At 44.4% G+C, this 22,189-nt stretch overlaps 1 protein-coding gene across 8 annotated transcripts in view, besides 4 other annotated features; it reads left to right on the top strand.

Annotated features, from left to right (window-relative positions):
* Window positions 4,374–4,453: a silencer, noted in NCBI's record as "silent region_19096". NCBI's record gives its function as "represses an Ori minimal core promoter by ATAC-STARR-seq in GM12878 lymphoblastoid cells {active_cell/tissue: GM12878}" and the evidence as "EXISTENCE:reporter gene assay evidence [ECO:0000049][PMID:35858748]".
* Window positions 4,483–22,189, top strand: part of POFUT3 (protein O-fucosyltransferase 3) — a 165,086-nt gene continuing 147,379 nt past the window's right edge. For 4 of the 8 annotated variants that reach the window (XM_011544676.4, XM_011544681.4, XM_011544679.4 and 1 more), the window contains exons 1-3: window positions 4,483–4,565; window positions 15,904–16,257; window positions 21,734–21,859. In XM_011544676.4, coding sequence (XP_011542978.1) covers window positions 16,177–16,257; window positions 21,734–21,859 — 207 coding nt within the window. In that variant the 5' untranslated portion in view covers window positions 4,483–4,565; window positions 15,904–16,176. Of the gene's footprint in view, window positions 4,566–15,903; window positions 16,258–16,857; window positions 16,918–21,733; window positions 21,860–22,189 lie in introns of those variants that run through there. The other 4 variants (XM_011544677.4, XM_047422326.1, NM_032664.3 and 1 more) reach the window with 2 other exon arrangements.
* Window positions 4,744–4,983: a silencer, noted in NCBI's record as "silent region_19095". NCBI's record gives its function as "represses an Ori minimal core promoter by ATAC-STARR-seq in GM12878 lymphoblastoid cells {active_cell/tissue: GM12878}" and the evidence as "EXISTENCE:reporter gene assay evidence [ECO:0000049][PMID:35858748]".
* Window positions 5,304–5,513: an enhancer, noted in NCBI's record as "active region_27218". NCBI's record gives its function as "activates an Ori minimal core promoter by ATAC-STARR-seq in GM12878 lymphoblastoid cells {active_cell/tissue: GM12878}" and the evidence as "EXISTENCE:reporter gene assay evidence [ECO:0000049][PMID:35858748]".
* Window positions 6,214–6,263: a silencer, noted in NCBI's record as "silent region_19094". NCBI's record gives its function as "represses an Ori minimal core promoter by ATAC-STARR-seq in GM12878 lymphoblastoid cells {active_cell/tissue: GM12878}" and the evidence as "EXISTENCE:reporter gene assay evidence [ECO:0000049][PMID:35858748]".

The following is a 22,189-nucleotide window of genomic DNA, read 5'->3' as shown; positions in this document are numbered from 1 at the left end:
TTTTATGATTCTTACTGGCTCTTTCGTTTAACTGAAAAGATCCATTAGTACCAACTTAACTCTTTTAGATGTCTTAACAAAAGATCTTCCAGCCTCATCTTGAGGATCTTTTACTGGCTGGGGAGGCTGGAGATAAGAACAGGATTTATTTTCCAATCTGCTCAATTTTAATCTCTTGATAGTTCCTCTAAATTCTGTACAGCACCCCTTTCTCCTTATTTCTCTTATTTCTTTCTGGCAGTCCTTACAATATGCAGCTAAAAGACACCAACTAACACATTTAGCATTCTGCCTGGAAATCATTTTATCAAGGCATACAAATTAAGTATGTTTTATATCTTGTGAGTTGTTACAGGTAATAGTTTTACCAAGTATTTTACTGCTATCTAACATGTCATCATTCTTCCAGTTTGCTATAGCAGTTTTCTTAGCACCTTAAGAAAACCCTCAAATTTTAAATTCGTTTTGGAGTAAAACAGGCTCTTTACTATTTACAAGATTATTTCTGAGTTGCAAAAATTCTCTGTCCATGTTTTTCCCTTTATTACCATGTTTTTTCTCCTGTATTTCCCCCACTCAATCTTGGCTGCCACAATCCAACAGAGAGCATGGCACTGCTTTTTTTCTTTTTGCATCTGTAGTGGAAACCTTGGCAGCAGACAGTAAGTGCATCAGGTCTGTCAAACACAAGCATGCTTCTTGCTTTTTCAGTGTTGTCCAGGACTTGGTCCCTAAACCAATGCCACATATTTTAGGCTTTTGTTAAACAGCATCCCATTTCTAGATGGCACTTTCTTTTTTTGTTTGTTTGTTTTTTGTTTGAGACAGAGTCTTGCTCTGTCACCAGGCTGGAGTGCAGTGGCATGATCTCAGCTCATTGCAATCTCCGCCTCCTGGGTTCAAGTGATTCTCTTGCCTCAGCCTCCCGAGTAGCTGGGATTACAGGCGCGCGCCACCACACCCAGCTAATTTTTGTATTTTCAGTAGAGATGGGGTTTCACCATGTTGGCCAGGATGGTCTCCATCTCCTTACCTCGTGATCCTCTCACCTCAGCCTCCCAAAGTGCTGGGATTACAGGCATGAGCCACCGCATCCGGCCATAGATGCCAATTTCTGTATCAGTTAGCTATTGCTGTATAACACACGCCTCTGAAACTCAGTGGCTTAAACAGTAAGCATTTATTCATGTTTGTGTTTCTATGAGTCGGTGGGTAGTCTGCTGACCTGGGGTTGCTCACATATCTGTGGTCATCTGGTGGACTGACTCGAGGCTAATTAGTCTAGGATGGCCTCACTCACATATCTTAGAGTTGGGTAGCAATTGACTGGGGCAACAGGGGTGACTGAGCCATTATCCCTCATAGCCCAGAAGGCTATTCTGCAGTTGGTTTCATGGCAGTTGCATAGAGTGGCAAGAAAATAAGTGGAAGTATGCTAGGCCACTTAAGGCCTGGACCCGGAAATGGCATCCTGTCACTTCTGCTACATTCTGTGGCCAACACAAGTTGCAGAGCCAACCTTGAATTTGAATTTTCTTTCTTTCTTTTTTTTTTGAGATGGAGTCTCACTCTGTCACCCAGACTGGAGTGCAGCGGCAGTGATCTCTGCTCACTGCAGCCTCCGCATCCCGGGATCAAGTGATTCTCTTGCCTCAGCCTCCTGAGTAGCTGGGATTGTGGGCGCCTGCCATCACACCTGGCTAATTTTTGTATTTTTAGTAGAGTCAGGGTTTCGCCATGTTGACCAGGCTGGTCTCAAACTCCTGACTTCAGGTGATCCACCCACATTGGCCTCTCAAAGTGCTGGAATTACAGGCGTGAGCCACCACACCCGCCCGAGTTTTCTTCTTTGATCTATGTGCTATATAGAAGTGTGTTGTTTTTATCTCCATGTATCTGGAGATTTTCTAATTATCATTCAGTTACTGGTTTCTGGTTTAATTCCTTTGTGGTCTGATAGCATGCTTTGTATGATGTCCATTCTTTGAAATTTGTTGAGGTGTGTGTGTTTTTTTAAATTTTTTTTATTTTTTATTTTTTATTTTAAATCGAGTTTCGCTCTTGTTGCCCAGGCTGGAGTGCAATGGCGCTATCTTGGCTCACTGCAACCTCCACCTCCCAGGTTCAAGCGATTCTCCTGCCTCAGCCTCCTGAGTAGCTGGGATTGTAGGCACCTGACAGCACGCCTGGCTAACTTTTTTGTATTTTTAGTAGAGACGGGGTTTCTCCATGTTGGTCAGGCTGGTCTCGCTCTCCCAACCTCAGGTGATCCGCCCTCCTTGGCCTCCCAAAGTGCTGAGATTATAGGCGTAAGCGACCGTGCCCTGCCGAGGTGTGTTTTATGGCCCAGTATACATGCCTTTTGATGTTTATATATAGGTATGTGTATTAGGCCTATACCTAGGAATTTCTGGGTCACAACGTGTATATTCAGCTCTAGTAAATATGAACAGATGATTTTCCAAAGTGGCTGTCACAACTGCACCCCCAACAATAGTGCATAACAGTTCTATGTGCTTCACGGCTTTGTCCTTGTGTTGTCTTGTCAGTTTTAAAATCTGTAGCCATTTTAGTGGATGTGTAGTATATATCATCATCGTGTTCATTTGCATTTCTTTAATGACTAAAAACATTAAGCATCTTTTTCACATACTGCCTGGCTATTTGGATTCGTCTTCGGTGAAGTGCTGTACTTATTGATTGCTTTTCTTTCTTATTGCTTTTAGGAGTTCTTGTTATATTCTAAATTCATTGTTAGATACAATATATCAAAAATACCTTCTCTCATTCCGTAGATCAGTTTTCATTCTTTTTCTTTCTTGAGACAGGATCTAATCCTGTTGCCCAGGCTGGAGTGCAGTGACACAATCCTGACTCACTGCAGCCTTGACCTCCCAGGGTCAAGCAATCCTCCCACCTCAGCCTCCTGAGTGGCGGAAACCATAGGCGTGCACCACCACACCTGGCTAATTTTTAAAAATTTTTCGTAGAGACGGGGTCTCCCTATGTTGTCCAGGCTGGTCTCCAACTCCTGGGCTCAAGTGATCCTCTCGTCTCAGCCTACCAAAGTGCTGAGATTACAGGTGTGAGCCACTGCACCCATTTCTTATTTTCTTAATGGTGTCTTTTGATGAATAGAGTTTCTTACTTTTAATCATATCTAATTTATCAATCTTTTCTGTGTGTTTGATGTTTTTTAGATGTGGACACCATTATTATCAACCTGTTTTCATAGAAAAGTTGAGTTTCTTGGCACCAGAGCTCCGCAGGGTCGGGACCAGAGGGAGGCAGGCCCGAAACAGCAAATCGCTCTCAGGCTTCTGCAGTGCACCCAGCACTGCAGGACACCCAGGGTCAGCACCTCCTCAGATTTTGAGCCCTAAGTACCTCATTTGCCTTGCCCTAGACCCACCCCTCCCAAAATGCTGAATTACCTCCTTAGGTTTATTACCTCCTAGACTAGGGCACAATAATTTTATTTGAGTTTTTGGATTTGGAACTCAGTAGCTTGAAGTCAATTAGCTTTCCTTTACCAGTGTCTAGTCCGTTTGGGCTACTATCACAACACACCTTAGTTTGGGTAATGCATGAACAACGGAACTCCACTGCTCCCAGTCTGGATGATGGGAAGTCCAAGATCAACAAACACGCTGGCAGATTCCTCATCTGTTAGCGTCTGTGCCTCATACAAGAGACCCTCTATGTGTCCTCACATGGCAGAAGCTTGCTCTGGTCTCTTTCATAAAGACACAGTACATTTGTAAATTTATATAGACTATAAAGGCACGAAATTCACATATGAATTTGGGGCAGGGTACAAACATTCACACCATAGCAACCAGTACAATCTTTTCTTGAATAAATGACTTTGACCTTTTTTTTTAAATTTATTTTATTTATTTTTGTAGACAGTCTTGCTCTGTTGCCCAGGCTGGAGTGCAGTGGCTTGATCTCGGTTAACTGCAGCCTTTACCTCCTGGACTCAAGAGATCCTCCCACCTCAGCCTCCCAGTAGGTGGGACTACAGGCATGGGCCACCACACTCTGCTAATTTTTGCATTTTTTGTAGAGACAGGGTCCCGCTATGTTGCTCAGGCTGGTATCGAACTCCTGGGCTCAAGCGATCTGCCCGCCTTGGCCTCCCAAAGTGCTGGGATTACAGGTGTGAGCCGCTGCCACGCCTGGCCTGAATAGGTGACTGCATGCGCTCCAGTCCTAGTCCAGTTGGAGAAGCGGAGAGTTTCCCCTGTCTTAAAGAAGAGGGCCCCCGCAGCCTTCCCGAGAACTTTCCATAGGGCCGTGGCCTCAGGCGGACTGCGAACCAAGATCATCAGCAGGGGGCGGCCCGGTGTTCTTAGAACCCGGGTCCCAAGAGCTTGTGAACAGGGCACGAGTGAAAACCCGGATCCAGGCTGGCTCCGCCGGAACGCGCCCCGAGCTCGCCCGCGCGGCCGCCTCTTCCGCTCCTGATCGGCTCTTCGGGTCTTCCCGGCGCCCAGGCTTGGGCTCATAGGGAGAAAGGAAGCTGCGCTGCATTCTGCGGGACGAACCCTGCTCCGCGCGAGGTGAGTGCGAGCGCCGCATCACATCTGGCCTCTGTGGTCTCTTGGTGGGGGTAGGGGCTTGATGCTGAGACACGGAAAGACGCTTTTCTGGTCCCACGGAAGCTGGGACACTACCTCCGGGAGTCACAGCCTAAGGAAACTCCCTCTCTGTACCGAGCAGGGGGTGCGTGTAAGAGACGGAATGGTGTGTGCAAAATAATCCAAGTCTGTTTTGGAGACTTAGTGGCGCAAAGGCAGAGCCACTGCCTGAGATTGAAGCCTGATCCACCAGGCGGGAGGCGGGTGCCGGGCCGGAGCCTCTGCTGGAGCCCGGAGAAGGAGCGCGGGGTCCCGGCGCCTCCCCGCCTGCCCCGATCGGCCTCCTCCCCAGGTCCGCGGCCGTCCATTCCAGAACCTAATCTGCCTTTGCGGGGCGCGAATTGCCTTGTTCTCCCCCAGGTCTTCCCAGAGAATCACTTGTTGCAGGAATGTTGTGTTGAAGTCGTAGCAACTGTGACTTTCTAGTTGCAGAGAATACGGCGTATTTAATGGAGAAAATGCCCCAGGAAAGCACCGGCAACCGCAGGCCTGGGTTATCCCATTTGCAAGCCATGTGTTAGGTATTTTGCACCCGATTAGTACCCTCAGAACAGAGCTCATTTTTTGTAAACTATAGAAGTAATTTTTCTGTGATTTTATGACATTTTCTGGGAATCTTTTAATGATTCTTTAAAATAAAGCAAATGTCACACAGAATGACTTTTTCTAACACCACGGCCCCAACAGCCTGCCCCCTGCTCCCTGCTGCAGCTCCCTGCAATAATAGTTGGTTAGAGTGTTTTGTGCATGAAATGACTTGGATTGTTAATTTAGTTTGTGGAATGCATCCAGCTCTGGCTGGCCACAGTTTTGAATAAGGCAAGTTGGCTTTCAGGACTTTATTCCCTTCGTACACCTTTCTTTCCAATGAGACACCCAGGAAACTCACGACCAATCTTGGGCTTGTTAGTAACGTCACACTACAACTAGGGCAGGGTTTCTCCCTGGTCTACCGTAGTCTCAAATGGAGGCCTTTCTCGCATTGAATAAGCAGCTCAGCTCTTTGAACGCTGAAGTTTCACTGCCTCCAATCTAGCAGCACCGTAGTCTCCGTTTTAAAACTTTCTTCTGAGTAAGGAGAAGCCAGAGGCGATTGGGTAGCCTCAGGTGATCATTCAGGTCTTCCAATTTCGAAATTGCTGTAATAACTCTTGCTCGCTTCCTGCTAGATGGCAGTGTGTAACAGTGAATTAAAAACACGATCTCAACTTTTACTGTGTTGTTATTGCTTGTCTTCTACAATAAGAAAAAAAAGTAAGTTTTCAAGTTTTATCTTACAAACAATATTTTTGAAAAATTTCAAACTATGGTTAAATTCAGGAAGTAAAAAGAATATAGTTTGGAAAAACAATGTTATTTATATATGTACAAATGTTGTTCAGTAGGCAGATATTTCCAACCCATATTTAAATGCTTTAAACTTTGGAATGTAGGCCGGCCGGGCGCGGTGGCTCATGCCTGTAATCCCAGAACTTTGAGAGACCGAGGCGGGCGGATCACGAGATCAGGAGTTCTAGACCAGCCTGGCCAATATGGTGAAACCCCGTCTCTACTAAAAATACAAAAATTAGCTGGGCTCATGTGGTGGCGTGTGCGTGTAGTTCCAGCTACTCGGGAGGCTGAGACAGAACAATCACTTGAACCTGGAAGGAGGAAGTTGCGGTGAGCCAAGACTGCGCCACTGCACTCCAGCCTGGGCAACAGAGCGAGACTGTCTCAAAACAAAACAACAACAACAACAACAACAAAAAACAAAAACAAAAAAACCAACCTCGGAATGTAAAGAGTTGATTTCGGGTAGATATTCAATATCTAATTCAATTACCAGCATTCTACAGTGAACATTTGTTACAATGTTTCTGAACATGGGTTTTTGAACATTTTTAGAAGTTAAGTTTATCTTAAAATGTCTTTCAGATTTTTTTCTTTGATAATGAAATTGGAGTTTTCAAAAGATTATACAGAATTACCAACAAGGAAAATGAAGATAAAGTAATCCTAAACCTGTTATATACAATTAAAAAAAAAATTTCCGGAAATCTTACTTTGTGATGACTCAAGTTGTCTGGATTACTGTCTCTTGATTAATCTTTTATGGAGAGTTTTTACTCCTGGATATAATTTATGGGATGAGAGAGCTTAGTTTTGGGATGGAACCTCAGAAGATCCTCAGGGATTTGTCTTTAGTCATGTGAAATATTAGCTACATTTTGTCAGTGTTACTGAACCAGCTCCTCATTCATGAATATATAAATGATAAAAGCAGATCAGGGATTTTATTTGTTTTTTCTAGTCTGCAGTTATTCAATATTTATTAATTTATATTTTTTCTAGAGATGAGGGATTTTAATTCGAGTATCTTGTAGGGTGGGAAATTGCCACAAAGTAACCTATAAGCCCTACTTGGAGGAAGAATAGTTACTAATACTTATTAGTATAAGACCTCATAGGAAAAACAAAGATGAAAAAGAATCCCTGCTCTTGAAGAATTGCCTTAGTTCTTACTGTGACACATAAACTTCATAGTCTTGTGCTGTCACCCCACTTTTAATTTTTATTTATTTTTGAGACAGGGTCTAGCTCTGCCACCCAGGCTGGAGTGCAGTGGCACGATCACAGCTCACTGCAGCCTTGACCTCCAGGGCTCAAGGGATCCTCCTGCTCAGCCTCCTGGTAGCTGGGACTATGACTACAGGTGCACACCAGCATGCCCAGCTAACTTTTTTTTTTTTTTTTTTTTTTTTTTTTTGTAGAGATGGGTTCTTGCTGTGTTGCCTAGGCTGGTCTTGAACTCCTGGGCTTAAGTGATCCACCCACCTCGGCGTCTCAAAGTGCTGAGATTGCAGGCATGAGCCACGACACCAAGCTTTCCATTTTAAAAATCTGTGCTTCTTGCCGGGCGCCATGGCTCACACCTGTAATCCTAGCACTTTGGGAGGCCGAGGCAGGTGGATCACGAGGTCAGGAGGTTAAGACCATTCTGACCAACATCGTGAAACCCTGTCTCTACTAAAAATACAAAATTAGCTGGGTGTGGTGGTGCACACCTGTAATCCCAGCTACTCGGGAGGCTGAGGCAGGAGAATCGCCTGAACTCGGGAGGCAGAGATTGTGGTGAGTGCCACTACACTCCAGCCTGGTGACAGAGTGAGACTCCATCTCAAAAAAAAAAAAAAAAAAAAGAAAAAGTAAAAAATCTGTGTTTCTAATTGAGGCATTGTATCAGTCTGTCTGTTTATCTGGCTCTCTGTCTTTTGGATTTGTTTTTAGTTTCTACATCAAGTAGATCCACTGAATACTCTTTCTTGTGAGGTTGTATTATTAACACTGCATAATTTAAGTACTTTAGTATGTGTCTGGAATTTAAGGATTGAGGAATGACATTGCCTTCATTTCTGCAATAGAAGTGCAGAGGTGTTCTGGCTACACCTCTTTCCCCATTAATCACCAGTCTTGATTCACATGACTGCCAGTGTGCCTTTCTCCCTTACTGTCCTCTACTGGTCTCTCCTGAAATTTGCACTAGTATGAAGAGGATGACTTTCCCACATAGAAATCTACAATCCAAAGCATGCTTTATATAAAAATAAATGCTCAGCAAAATATGAAGTTCACTGAAAATGAGCGAGGTACACATTAACACAGATTTTTGTTTTTGTTTTTGTTTTTGCTTTTTTTTCGAGACAGAGTCTTGCTCTGTAGCCCAGGCTGGAGTGCAGTGGCGCGATCTCGGCTCATTGCAAACTCCGCCTCCCGGGTTCATGCCATTCTCCTGCCTCAGCCTCCCCAGTAGCTGGGGCTATAGGCACGCACCACCACACCCAGCTAATTTTTGTATTTTTAGTAGAGACGGGGTTTTGTCATGTTGGCCAGGCTTGTCTCCAACTCCTGGCCTCAAGAAATCCACCCTCCTTGGCCTCCCAAAGTGCTGGCATTACAGGCATGCACCACTGCATCCGGCCTCACATTGATAAATGGCACTTTACTGTGAATACTTTAAATTTGATAATTAGATACATTTCTTCTAAAAACTTTCCGTGGTATTACCTCTAGCTTATTAACCCAGTTGACTCCCAATTACCAGAACAGAAATGGGCAAAGGAGTCTTCCCAGAGCTCCCTGTTTTCTAAGCTAACAGTTTTATTTTTATCTTGAGGTCTTTGGGCAGCCATTGAAGGATTTTAATCAGGAGAGATATCCAATCAACACTCTAGGGACATCTCTTTATGGCTGCATGAAGAATGCAAAAGGGTCACCACTGGGAAGAACACCAGTTGTTGGGCACTTTGGAGTAATCAGGCAGAAATGAATGAGGAGTATTGAGGTGTAGTTGAAAGGAGGTACTTAAAAGTGCCTGAAGAGTTGTCCAAAGGCCTTTAGGCATCTCCTCAGCCTATCACATGTCTTCGCCAGGACAGTCACCATTTAAGGGGCATTAGGAGATTTATACGTTATCCAGTGAAAACACCTTGGGAGAGTCAAACCTATTTGATACATTGCACTTTAGTGTGAATAGTTTAAATTTGATAATTAGATACATTTCTTCTAAAAACTCTCCTTGGTATTACCTCTAGCTTATTAACCCAGTTGACTCCCCAATTACCAGAGCAGAAATGGGCAAAGGAGTCTTCCCAGAGCTCCCTGCCTTCTGCCTTGCCTCTCCTGCAACTAGGGAGAGGGAGGAGGAGGAGGGGCACACAAACTACCAGGTTCTTCTTCTTCTTCTTCTTTTTTTTTTTTTTTTTTGAGACACAGTTTCATTCTGTCGTCCAGGCTGGAGTGCAGTGGTGCAACCTCAGCTCACTGCATCCTCTGCCTCCCAGGTTCAAGGGATTCTCCTGCCTCAGTCTCCCCAGTAGCTGGGATTACAGGTGCCTGGCACCACACCTGGCTGATTTTTGTATTTTTTGTAGAGATGAGGTTTCACTGTGTTGTCCAGGCTGGTCTCAAACTCCTGACCTTAGGTGATCCGCCCACCTTGGCCTCCCACAGTGTTGGGATTACAGGCATGAGCCACCGCACCCAGCCTCACAAACTACCAGGTTCGGAAAGCTCAGAGTGTCACCTAAGGTTGGTTTCTCATTTTACAGTCAGACACGCAGGAAAGAAATCACCCCTTGGTTCCATTTCTGAGACTCTTACACCTTCAACTGGCCTGAATGGCCAAAATTTGAAGCTGGCACCCTCAAGCTGCTAATTACCTGTAAGATATTCAGTCCCTCTTCTGTCCATCTTAATTCAAAATACAGTTGAAAATTTGGAATTATTTTAGGATGAAAGTGTTGCTGGTTTTGATGGCATAGCACGTGCAAGAGTATGAGGTAGTCATACTCAGCTCCAAACCCCACTCTGTGCAGCAGATGGCCAACCCTGGTGTTGCATGCCAGCCGTGCAATGCACTTTAGAAGCTCAGCTCCTAGGGGTAAGAGGATTGGTGAGTGAGAGTCCATTTCAGATGGTACCTGCCGTGGATGTCTGAATATACATATTGTTCTGTCCCAGGAAGGAGTATTCTAGGGCACCCTCTTGCAGGACTCAGATTCATCCTGTAGGCAATGATGAAATGAGAGCTTTTGTCTTGGAGTCTCATAATTTAAGTGCTTCAGTATGTGTCTGGAATTTAAGAATGGCATCGCCTTCAGTTCTGTAATAGAAATGTGCTCTGGCCACACCTTGATTAATCACTAGTCTTTTTTTTTTTTTTTTTTTTTTTGAGACAGAGTCTCGCTCCGTCGCCCAGGCTGGAGTGCAGTGGCGTGATCTCGGCTCACTGCAACCTCCACCTCCCGGGTTCAAGTAATTCTCCTGCCTCAGCCTCCCGAGTAGCTGGGACTACAGGTGCATGCCACCATGCCTGGCTAATTTTTGTGTGTTTTTTTTGAGACAGAGTCTCGCTCTGTAGCCCAGGCTGGAGTGCAGTGGTACGATCTCAGGTCACTGCAACCTCTGCCTCCTGGGTTCAAGCAATCCTTCCTGCCTCAGCCTCCCAAGTAGCTGGGATTACAGGAGTCTGCCACCACACCCGGCTAATTTTTGTATTTTTAGTAGAGACAGGGCTTCACCATATTGGTCGGGCTGGTCTCGAACTCCTGACCTCAGGTGATCCACCCGCCTTGGCCTCTCAAAGTACTGAGATTACAGGTGTGAGCCACTATGCCCGGCCTAATCACCAGTCTTGATTGACATGGCTGCCAGTGTCCCTTTCTCCCTTACTGTTCTCTTTTGGTCTATTCTATTGAATTGGAGCCTGCTGTCCTTCATAGTGCTCTCTGCAAGTCTGCCTGTCCCACCAGTTGGAGGACTGCTGACTTGATGTCAGGCTCCTGGGTAACTAATACCATATACAGTATTAGATTGACTGTTACTGTTATAAATGTACCCTGAGGCCTGGATAATGGTTGTATGCTCTAAGTCACAATACTACTATCTACCCTGGCTGGGCCCTGCCCTGCCCTGCCCTTCTTTCCCCTTCCCTGCCCTGCCCTTCTTTTCTCTCTCCTTCCATTTTCCCTTCCCTTCTCCTTTCTCTTTCCTTTCCTTCTTTTGTTTTCTTTTTTGAGACAGTGTCTCACTCTGCTACCCAGGCTGGAGTACAGTGGCATAATCATGGCTCAGTGCAGCCTTGAACTCCTGGGCTCAGGTGATTCTCCTGCTTTAGCCTTCCAGGTAGCTGGGACCACAGACATGCACCACCATGCCCAGCTAATTTTTAAATTAAAAAAAATTTTTTTTGTAGAGACGGAGTCTTGTTTTGTTGCCCAGGCTAGTCTTGAACCCCTGGGCTCAAGGGATCTTCCTGCCTCAGTCTCCCAGAACCACCGCACCTGGCTGGCTCTGTTCTTTAGTGGTAGTTACTTAACCATACGTTGTTCCCTGAGACCTACTACACTTCTGGCTTTGGGAAGATAGCCTAGGTTGAGATTCTTTAAATATAAGGGAATTCATAATCTTAAAATTCTTCTGTCATAGTTCATAAAGCTATGCGAAGGTCCCAAAAAGCTCCTATGATAGACCTGAGCTATGCAGTAGCTATAAAAATATCCCAAACTCTGTCCTCAAATTGTATCTTTTGTTTTCCTTTATTACTGATTATTTCTGTACTTTTCACAAGCTGTCACTATGTTCCTTCATTTATCTGCTTTCCACACATCTTTGAGTTGAGTGAGCTGATATCTAGACTCACTTCTGTCTTTAAAAAATATGATCCTGTGGCCGGGTGCAGTGGCTCATACCTGTAATCCTAGCACTTTGGGAGGCCGAGGCAGGTGGATCATTTGAGGTGTTCAAGATAATTCAGGAGTTTGAGACCAGCCTGGCCAACATGGTGAAACCCTGTCTCTACTACAAATAGAAAAATTAGCTGGGTGTGGTGGCACGCGCCTGTAGTCCCAGCTACCCGGGAGGATGAGGCAGGAGAATCGCTTGAATTCAGGAGGCGGAGGTTGCAGTGAGCCGAGATTGCGCCACTGCACTCCAGCCTGGGCAACAGAGCGAGACCCTGTCTGAAAACAACAACAAAAGCAACAACAGCAACAACTCTCTCTCTCTCTCTCTCTATATATATATGTATGTATGTGTGTATATATATATATATATGATCTTGGGCAAATCACTTAAACTTGAGAAGGCTCAGCTTCCTTGGGAACTGGGAATAATAATACCTACCTTGCCTACTTTTCAAAGTGGTTATAAATAAGGTTGAGTAGAGTGATATATCTAAACATTTTTGAAAACAGTATAGTTTTATTCCCATTTTAGTAGGTGATATTATTTTACTACATAATCTGGGTTACGTTAATGATAACTATAATAAATTGCTTCTGCACATTAAATGAAAATTTGGTAATCTTTCTGTTATGCAAGGGAAAGAAATAGTGATAGTTAACATTTATTATTTACTATGAAGAAGCTGAGGCTTAGAAAGATTCAGTAACTTGTCTAAATTTATATTAAGTAAAAGAACCAGGATTGGGACCCAAAGTGCTAGCTCCATGTTGTGTGTGGTTAATAGCTACAAGCATCTACTAAGTAGGAGCAAAGGTACTTTACAGGTTCTTATAGATTTGTATTCCTTTTTTCTCTGATATACTAGCTGACAACTGTACTACATATGTTTTCTGTGGTTTAGGCAGGTAACCTGTGAGTGTTGGTATTGTCTGGTGGTAATTTTATAGTATTTCTTTTTTTAAAATTATTTTTTATTTTTTGAGACCAGGCCTGGCTCTGTCACCCAAGCTAAGTGCAGTGGCACAATCACGGCTCACTGCAGCCTCAATCTCCTGGGCTGAAGCAATCCTCCTGCCTCAGCCTCCCAGGACTAGGACTACAGACACTCACCGCCATGCCTGGCTAATTTATTTTTTGTAGAGATGGGGTCTTACTGTGTTGCCTAGGTGGGTCCTTCCACCTTGGCCTCCCAAGCTGTTGGGATTACCTGCATGAGCCACTGTGTGCAGTCAAGGAATTTTATAGTATTAATGCTAAAAAATATAAAGGAATGTGTGCACTTCAGATCGTAATACTCGTCAAAGTTAGAGTCTTGGTCAAGTTACTTTACTTCATTCAGATTCGGTTTTCTTATATTTGAAAATGAGAGTGGAGTTGTTGGGAGGATTGAATGAGCGCCTGCCTGTGTGCTAAGTACTTAGGAAAGGCCTTGCCAATGATAGGTTACTCAACAAATATTAGCAATCTCCTTTTCTTTGGCAAAGTGAGCATTTTTCCTTTTAACGTTCCAGTTGATGGGGTAGCAATCTATTTTATATGCTTCATTTTCCACCTAAAGGGATAATAAATTACAATAATATTTAAATATAAGGATAACATACATTTATTGGGTATTATGTGTCAGGGTCTGAAATAAGTGTTTTACCAATCATAGCTCATAAAATTCTCACAACTCTGATTAGGCCTCATGAGGATCTACTTTTGGAAAGTGAGTTATGGAGAGGTGAGGTTAAGCCAGCTGGGGAATTGGGATTTGAATCCTGGCAGGCAGACTTGAGACCTTCTCTTAGTCACTGGGTTTTGGGAATTTCATGGATGAAAGAAGAAAAATGCACTTTTGGTGATTTCTGAGTCCAAGTGTTACTTTGTGGTTGAAGGAAAAAAAAAATTCCTGGATTTAAAAGTAAGGCCGTGCACGGTGGCTCACACCTGTAATCCCAGCACTTTGGGAGGCCAAGGCAGGAGGATCACTTGAGCCCAGGAGTCCAAGACCAGCCTGGACAACATGGTGAGACCTCATCTCTACAAATAAACAAACAAACAAAAATTAGCTGGGTGTGGTGGCACATGCCATTAGTCCCAGCTACTCGGGAGGCTGAGGTGGGAGGACTGCTTGAGCCTGGGAGTTGGAGGCTACAGTGAGCCATGATCACACTACTGCACTTCAGCCTGGGTGACAGAGGAAGACCCTGTCTCAAAAAAAAAGTAAATCAAGGTAGACTCATGAGAGGGGAGCCCACCTTTTTTTTTTTTTGAGACGCAGTCTGGCTTTGTCGCCCAGGCTGGAGTGCAGTGGCACAATCTCGGCTCACTGCAACCTCTGCCTCCCAGGTTCAAGTGATTCTCTGGCCTCAGCCTCCCGAGTAGCTGGGATTACAGGTGCCTGCCACCGCACCCAGCTAATTTTTGTATTTGTAGTAGAGACGGGGTTTCACCATCTTGGCTAGGCTGGTCTTGAACTCCTTGCCTTAAGTGATCCACCTGCTTCGGCCTCCCAAAGTGCTGGGATTACAGGTGTGAGCCACTGCACCCACCTGGGAGCACACCTTTAAGACTAAAGTTTTTAACCAGGATTCTATATTATTTTTATAGGACTAATGATATCTAATTATATCTTTAACTCTGTATGTCAGGGGCATGATGTAGGTCTGACTTAGACTCAGATCTGTGAAGTACTGTGCAGCAGCATTGCCCTTCCTCTGGAAAGTTGACCCTTCCTCCACTCTGAGCTCCACAGTGCCATTTGCCCAGGACATTGAAGTTCATAGAATATCATAGGGATAAAGGGCATTCTATGGGGGCATTTTTTTTTTACCTTTTTTTTTTTTGAGATAGGGTCTTGCTCTGTTGCCTACGCTAGAGTGCAGTGGTGCAGTCACGGCTTACTGCAGCCTTGACCTCCTGGGCTCAAGCAATCCTCTTGCTTCAGCTTCCTGAGTAGCTGGGACTATAGGTGCACACCCCCATGCCCAGCTAATTTGTAAAATTTTCTATGCAGACAGGGTTTCACTATGTTGCCCAGGCTGGTCTCAAACTCCTGGGCACAAGCCATCCTCCTGCCTTGGCCTCCCAAAGTGCTGTGATTAAAGGTATGAGCCACTGTACCTGGCACTCATTTAGTTCATTTTTACAACTTTTTTGAAAAGATCATTCATTTCAGATAGATGAAAATTTTATTTGGAAACTTCCAAAGAATAATATTGCTCCAACAGCCCACTGCTTTATTCACTTGCTGTAAAAGACAAATAAATCATATTCAGAATTCCTTATGCTGTGGCAAAAGTTGGTTTCCTTAGTGGGCATTGGGGGCCACATGATGATTATCCATTTTTGATTGAAGCCTGAATCTTTTATTTTCTTCCTAAATTTTATGGGAGTGGGTGGATAGTCCTGGTAATTTTTATTCCATTTCTAAACTCCTTTGAAACTTAGAAGGGAATGACTTCATATAAAAGTCTTGGAATTCAGTCTTCTGATGGCAGAGAGCATTAAGTGGAAGCAGAATTTGAGATTTGGGATCTGGTTGTAGATTTGTCACTCTCCTCTGATGGGCTGTGTGGCCATGAGTAAGTCAATTCACCACTCTGGTCCCTTCCCCTTCCCTCCCCTTCCTTTCCTTTCTTTTCCTTTCCTTTCTCTGTTACCCAGGCTACTCACTGCAACCTCTGCCTCCCAGGTTCAAGTGATTCTCCTGCTGCAGCCTCCTGAGTAGCTGTGACTACGGGTGCGTGCCACCACGCCCAACTAATTTTGGTATTTTTAGTAGAGACAGGATTTTGCCATGTTGGCCAGACTGGTCTCAAACTCCTGACCTCAAATGATCCACCTGCCTTGGCCTCACAAAGTGCTGGGATTACAGGAGTGAGCCATCACGCCCAGCCTTGATTTCCTTACTTATGAGTGAGGTACTAGGACTACATGATCTCAATGTTTCCTTTTAGTTTAAAATGTCTATGTTTTTTCATGATCACCCTGCTGCAAGACTATATTTATTAAATCTGCGCTATGGCTAAAAGATGATCTTTTGTTGCAGAATTTTTTTGATTCCTTCTTATTTGGAGAAATCTCCAGCTGCTCTGATGATAGCCTAAGAAGACTGCATGCTGCTTCCTCTCGATGCCAAGCCAGACCCTCTCACAACCTCGGATCTCAGTCCTTCATGGAGACCTGGTCCCAGCAGGAATGGCAGTGCAGGAAATTGGCGCCCAGATGGTTCTTCCATGTGAAGTTGTCTCGGGCTCTGGGCTGACGAGAGAACACCTGGTAACCAGGTTAGCCCTCTGTCAGTCACCCAGGGCAGGGCAGCATGGTGCGGATTCAGAGGAGGAAGCTTTTGGCATCTTGCCTGTGCGTCACAGCCACCGTCTTTCTGCTTGTCACACTCCAGGTACCAAGAATGTGGGTTGTGTAGTGTTGATAGCTGGGCCTTTGCCATGTCCCCCTACCCCCTATTTTCTCAAAACTCCAATTATTTCACTTTTTGCTGAATCAGGGGTGTTCAGGATCAGGGTTGGTTCCTTCCTTCCTCCCTCCCTCCCTCCCTCCCTCCCTCCCTCCCTCCCTCCCTTCCTTCCTTCCTTCCTTCCGACACAGTACCACTCCTTTCGACACAGTACCACTCTGTTGCCCGAGCTGGAGTGCAGTGGCACGATCTCTGCTTACTGCAACCTCTGCCTCCCGGGTTCAAGCAATTCTTGTGCCTCAACCTCCCGAGTAGTTGGGATTACAGGCACCCGCTACCACGCCCAGCTAAATTTTTTGTATTATTAATAGAGATGTGGTTTCACCATGTTGGCCGTGCTGGTCTCGAACTCCAGATCTCAAGTGATCTGCCTGCCTTGGCCTTCCAAAGTGCTAGGATTACAGGCGTGAGCCACTGTGCCCAGCCAGGATCAGAGGTTTTCTACTGGGAGAAAATACCTCCCAGTAAAAAACCTCTGGCAGGGAGACCCTTCCAATTCACCCCCTGCCCCCCTTTTTTAAACAGGTGAAACTGAGGTTTAGTGAATGGACGTGTCAGGCAGAAACAAAGTCATTGAAATAGAAGGTGAGTTTGAGATTCTCGTAAGCTCCTGGTTGTAGAGAAACAGGAAGTAAAGCTCAGTCTGTCTTCCTGGGTCAAAATTGGATGGCTTCCTCAGAATCTCCTATTGTTATCACTTTTGAAAGATTGCGTTCTTGGAGAAGCAAGGACTATTCTGAGAACAAGATAGTCTGTATCTTGTAGTAAGTGTAGAACACAGACATCTATATTATAAGTAAATCTTGACATGTGCTTCTAGACCAAGGACTGTGTATGGATGAATGAACTGAAACGTGTGCTTAGTTCTCCTACCTGTAATCCCTTAGTCAGTTATTCCGAACTTCATTCATGGATTTCTATTTATTTATTTATTATTTTTTGAGACAGGATCTCATTTTTGTCACCCAGGCTGGAGAGCAGTGGCGCAGTCTCGGCTCACTGCAGCCTCGACCTCCCTGGGCTCAGGCAATCCTCCTACCTCAGCATCTCCAGTAGCTGGGACCACAGGCATGTGCCATGGTGCCTGGCTAATTTTTTTTTTTTTTTTGAGGTGGAGTCTCACTCTGTTGCCCAGGCTGGAGTGCAGTGGCACGATCTTGGCTCACTACTACCTCTGCCTCCCCGGTTCAAGCGATTTCCTGCCTCAGCCTCCCAAGTAGCTGGGATTACAGGCTTCCGCCACCTAGCTAATTTTTCATTTTTAGTAGAAATGAGGTTTCACCATGTTGGCCAGGCTGGTCTTGAACTCCTGACCTCAAGTGATCCACCCGCCTCGGCCTCCCAAAGTGCTGGGATTATAGGCATGAGCCACCACACCTGGCCTCATTTTGGTATTTTTTTGTGGAGACGGGGTTTCACCACATTGACCAGGCTGGTCTTGAACTCCTGGGCTCAAGCAGTCTGCACACCTTGGCTTCACAAAATGCTGGCATTACAGGTGTGAGCCACCGTTCCCAGCCCCTTCACTGATTTCAAATTGAAATAAAAATTGGGCAGTGATAGTAAAAGTATAGATATCAGCTCTGATAGAATTTGCACCCATTCAGGTACCAGCCATCCATTTCAAAATCCACAGAACTTTTTTTTTTTTTTTTGAGACAGTTTCACTCTTGTCACCCAGGCTGGAGTGCAGTGGCATGATCTCGGCTCACTGCAACTTCTACCTCCCAGGCTCAAAAAAATCCTCCCAACGCAGCCTCCTGAGTAGCTGAGACTATAGGTGTGTACTACCACACGTGGCTAAGTTTTCTAATTTTTTTGTAGAGATGGGGTTTCACCATGTTGCTCAGGCTGGTCTTGAACTCCTGAGCTCAAGAGATCTGCCTACCTGGCTTCTTAAAGCACTGAGATTGCAGGTGTGAGCCACTGCGCCTGGCTTCCACAGGACTTTTTTTTTGAGTGGAGTTTTGCTTTTGTTGCCCATGCTGGAGTGCAATGGCGTGATTTCGGCTCACTGAAACCTCCACCTCCTGGGTTCAAGCAATTCTCCTGCCTCAGCCTCCTGAGTAGCTGGGATTACAGGTGCCTGCCACCATGCCCAGCTAATTTTTGTATTTTTAGTAGAGACGGGGTTTTGCCATGTTGGCCAGGCTGGTCTCGAACTCCTGACCTCAGGTGATCCACCTGCCTTGTTCTCCCAAAGTGCTGGGATTACAGGCATGAGTCACCACGCCTGGTTCTCCACACAACATTTAAAGGTTATTTGTGGATATGAGTAGTTACAGTTGTGGGACTGGTAGACGCTAAGGTGTTCTCTGGGCTTTTTCACTCTGCAGGATCTCCCTTCTGTGTAGGATTGAATGAGGTAATGCTTATAAAAGCACTTTGGCAGACAATATGGTGCTGTATTTCTACTGCTGCCTTCTGCCAGATTGGGATTCTGGTGAGAGGCAACATGTGTCTCTTTCCTTGTTTGTGCTGGAGGTATCTAGGACCTGCTGCACAGAAGGCCTGACATTTTCAGCTTTCTGCTGCTTTCTGTGGGAAGTTTTTTTTTGTTTTTGTTTTTGTTTTTTGTTTTTTGAGACGGAGTCTTGCTCTCTTGCCAGGCTGGAGTGCAAGGTGCGATCTGGGCTCACTGCAACCTCTGCCTCCTGGGTTCAAGCAATTCTCCTGCCTCAGCCTCCTGAGTAGCTGGGATTACAGGTGCCTGCCACCACACCTGGCTAATTTTTTGTATTTTTAGTAGAGATGGGGTTTTACCATGTTGGCCAGGGTGGTCTCGAACTCCTGACCTCAAGTGATTCACCCGCCTTGGCCTCCCAAAATGTTGGTATTACAGGCGTGAGCCACCAGGCCTGGCCTCCATTCCTGTTTTTAGGCAAATGAAATACTTTGCCATATGAATAGGGTAAAGATAGGATAAATAGAAAAAAATCATGCCATGGATCCTTTGTTAGTTTGCTAGCGCTGCTGTAACAAAATACTGCAGATGAAGTCGCTTGCTTCCACAACCAAAATTAATTTTTTTTTTACAGTTCAGGAGACTGGGAAGTCCAAGATCAAGGTGTCAGCAGGGTTCTTTCTTCTGTGGCCTCTCTCCTTGGCTTATAGATGGCTGTTTTCTCCCTGTATCTTTACACTGCCTTCTCTCTGTAATTGTGTGTGTCAAAATTTCCCCTTTTTATAAGGACACCAGTCCTAATGGATTAGGGCCCACCCGTTTTAACTCAGTTACCTCTTTGAAGACCCTGTCTCCAAATATAGTCACGTTATAAAGTACTGGGAGTAAGGACTTCAACTTATGAATTTTTTTGGGGTATACAATTTAGCCCATAGCAGATTCTATAACATAAATTATTTAATTAATATTAATCTAAACATGAAAATATTATAGTTACCTACACTTAAGCTAAAACATAGTTCTCTGGAGGAAAACTTAGACATTGTTTTCCATTCACATTTAACTATATTTTGTATAAACTGTCTGTAAATTCTTTGGGTATATATGTATATTTATTTTTTAATTTTACTTTTTAGTTGCATAAATAGTTTAGGAATATATTTTGGAGTATTTTAAAGCAAATCCAGGACATAATAGCATTTCACCTGGATATATGTTAATATGATTCTCTCACTTTGGAGCTAGGAACTTTGAAAAATATAATGTAACCATATTGCTACTATTATACCCAATAAAATTAACAATTACTGAATATTCTCTGTATGATAGGCCATGTTAAATTTTTCCCAGTTGTCTCAAAAAAAAAAGAATTTTCATAATGAGTTGGGGTTTTTTTTGAGATGGAGTCTTCCTCTGTTGCCCAGGCTGGAGTGCAGTGGCATGTTCTTGGCTCACTGCAACCTCCATCTCCTGGGTTCAAGTGATCCTCCTGCCTCATCCTCCCAAGTAGCTGAGATTACAGGTGTGTGCCACCACGCACAGCTAATTTTTGTATTTTTAGGAGAGACAGGGCATGCCACCATGCCCAGCTAATTTTTTGTATTTTTAGAAGAGATGAGGTTTCACTATATTGGCCAGGCTGGTCTCGAACTCCTGACCTCAGGTGATCCACCCACCTGGGCCTCCCAAAATGCTGGGAGTACAGGTGTGAGCCACCATGTCTGTCCCAAGTTGGTTTGAATTTGGGATAAGCAAACCTATACATTGCATTTGGTTGGTGAGTCTCAAGTTTTATGTTTTTGTTTTTTCACTCTTAAAAGGTTTGGCCGGGCATGGTGGCTTAGGCCTGTAATCCCAGCACTTTAGGAGGCTGAGGTGGGTGGATCATGAGGTCAAAAGATTGAGACCATCCTGGCCAGCATGGTGAAACCCCGTCTCTACTAAAAATACAAAAAAATTATCTGGGCGTGGTGGTGCATGCCTGTAGTCCCAGCTACTTGGGAGGCTGAGGCAGGAGAATCACTTGAACCTGGGAGGTGGAGGTTGCAGTGAGCCGAGATTGTACCACTGCACTCCAGCCTGGTGACAGAGCGAGACTCTGTCTCAAAAAAAAAAAAAAAAGAAAAAAGAAAATAAAAGGCTTTTCTGCCCCACTTTTTATTCCATGTCATGGACTTTTAAAAACTGGGTCATTTATCCTTTTAACTTTTCTAGAGTGTGGGATTGGCTGATTATGGTTTTATTTAATGCATTCCTTTATTCTGCCATATTTCCTACAATCTGGTAGTGATATCCGAAGGTAATACCTTTTAAAAAGCTGTTTGGGCCAACGTGATGAAACCCTGTCTCTACTAAAAATACAAAAAAATTAGCAGGGCGTGGTGGCCTGCGTTTGTAATCCCAGCTACTCCAGAGGCTGAGGCAGGAGAATCACTTGAACTCGGGAAGAGGAGGCTGCAGTAGGCTGAGATCACGCCATTGCACTCTAGCCTGGGCGACAGAGAGAGACTCTGTCTCAAAAAATAAAAAAATAAAAAATAAATAAAAAAATAAGTTGTATGGCAGAAGAAGAATCTCTCCTTAAAAGCATCCCTATTATTTGGAAATGAATTTATAACTCACATAGTAGATATTGATCTGAAATGTGGAATAAATTTTACCTTTGGAGTTGTATCCTATGGCTTTCTAAAAGCCTTTCTTTTAAGTGACTGGTTGTACATTTGCAGGGGAAGAAGGTCAGATGAAAAGATAGTTTGTGGCTACAAGTCATCTCCCATGGATCAAACTACTGGGGAGAGCCACATTGTTCCATCATAAAAATGCTGAGAGAGCTATTGGCAACAGGCAGACTTTAGTTTTCAGTGATGGCTCTGCTGCTCTAGTGTTGACTTTGGCGTCTCAGGTGATCCATGACTTTTTAAAGCCAATATAATTTCTTACTCCTTCTGGAGTGCTGCTTGGCTTTCACTCAGTGGTTTTTTTTTTTTTTCTTTTTTGGCCTTGGATACCGTTGAGAATCTAATGAAAGTCACGGGCCCTCCCCAGGGAGTTACAGACTCCATGCAATGCTTCAATGATCAGCGGCCTTTATCTAACACCAGGAGCAGCGAGCACATAAAAGAGGTAACACTCTTGGCTGCTAAAAGCGGGACCTGAGGGCTGCACAGGGAATGGCCTCCATGGCCGACTGGTGGAGCAGTTAACACATAGAAATGTAAATGTGCCTTACTTTAACTGCTTTAACGCTGTATTTGTTTCATAGTCTACTAAACTTTCAGTTACATATGGAGCAGATCAACCCTTTCTCCAGCATATTTCTATAATTAGTGCCATATCAATTATATTAATACCAAATCTTGTTTTTTTGTTGAGATGGAGTCTCCCTTTTTTGCTCAGGCTGCTGTACAGTGGTGCAATCATACCGCACTGCAGCCTTGAACTCCTGGACTCAAG

Source organism: Homo sapiens, chromosome 8 (genome assembly GCF_000001405.40).
Source record: "Homo sapiens chromosome 8, GRCh38.p14 Primary Assembly".
NCBI classification, from domain to species: Eukaryota; Metazoa; Chordata; class Mammalia; order Primates; family Hominidae; genus Homo; species Homo sapiens.
The sequence above is the reverse complement of the archived record's forward strand: the minus strand, read 5'-3'. Positions and strand labels throughout refer to the sequence as shown.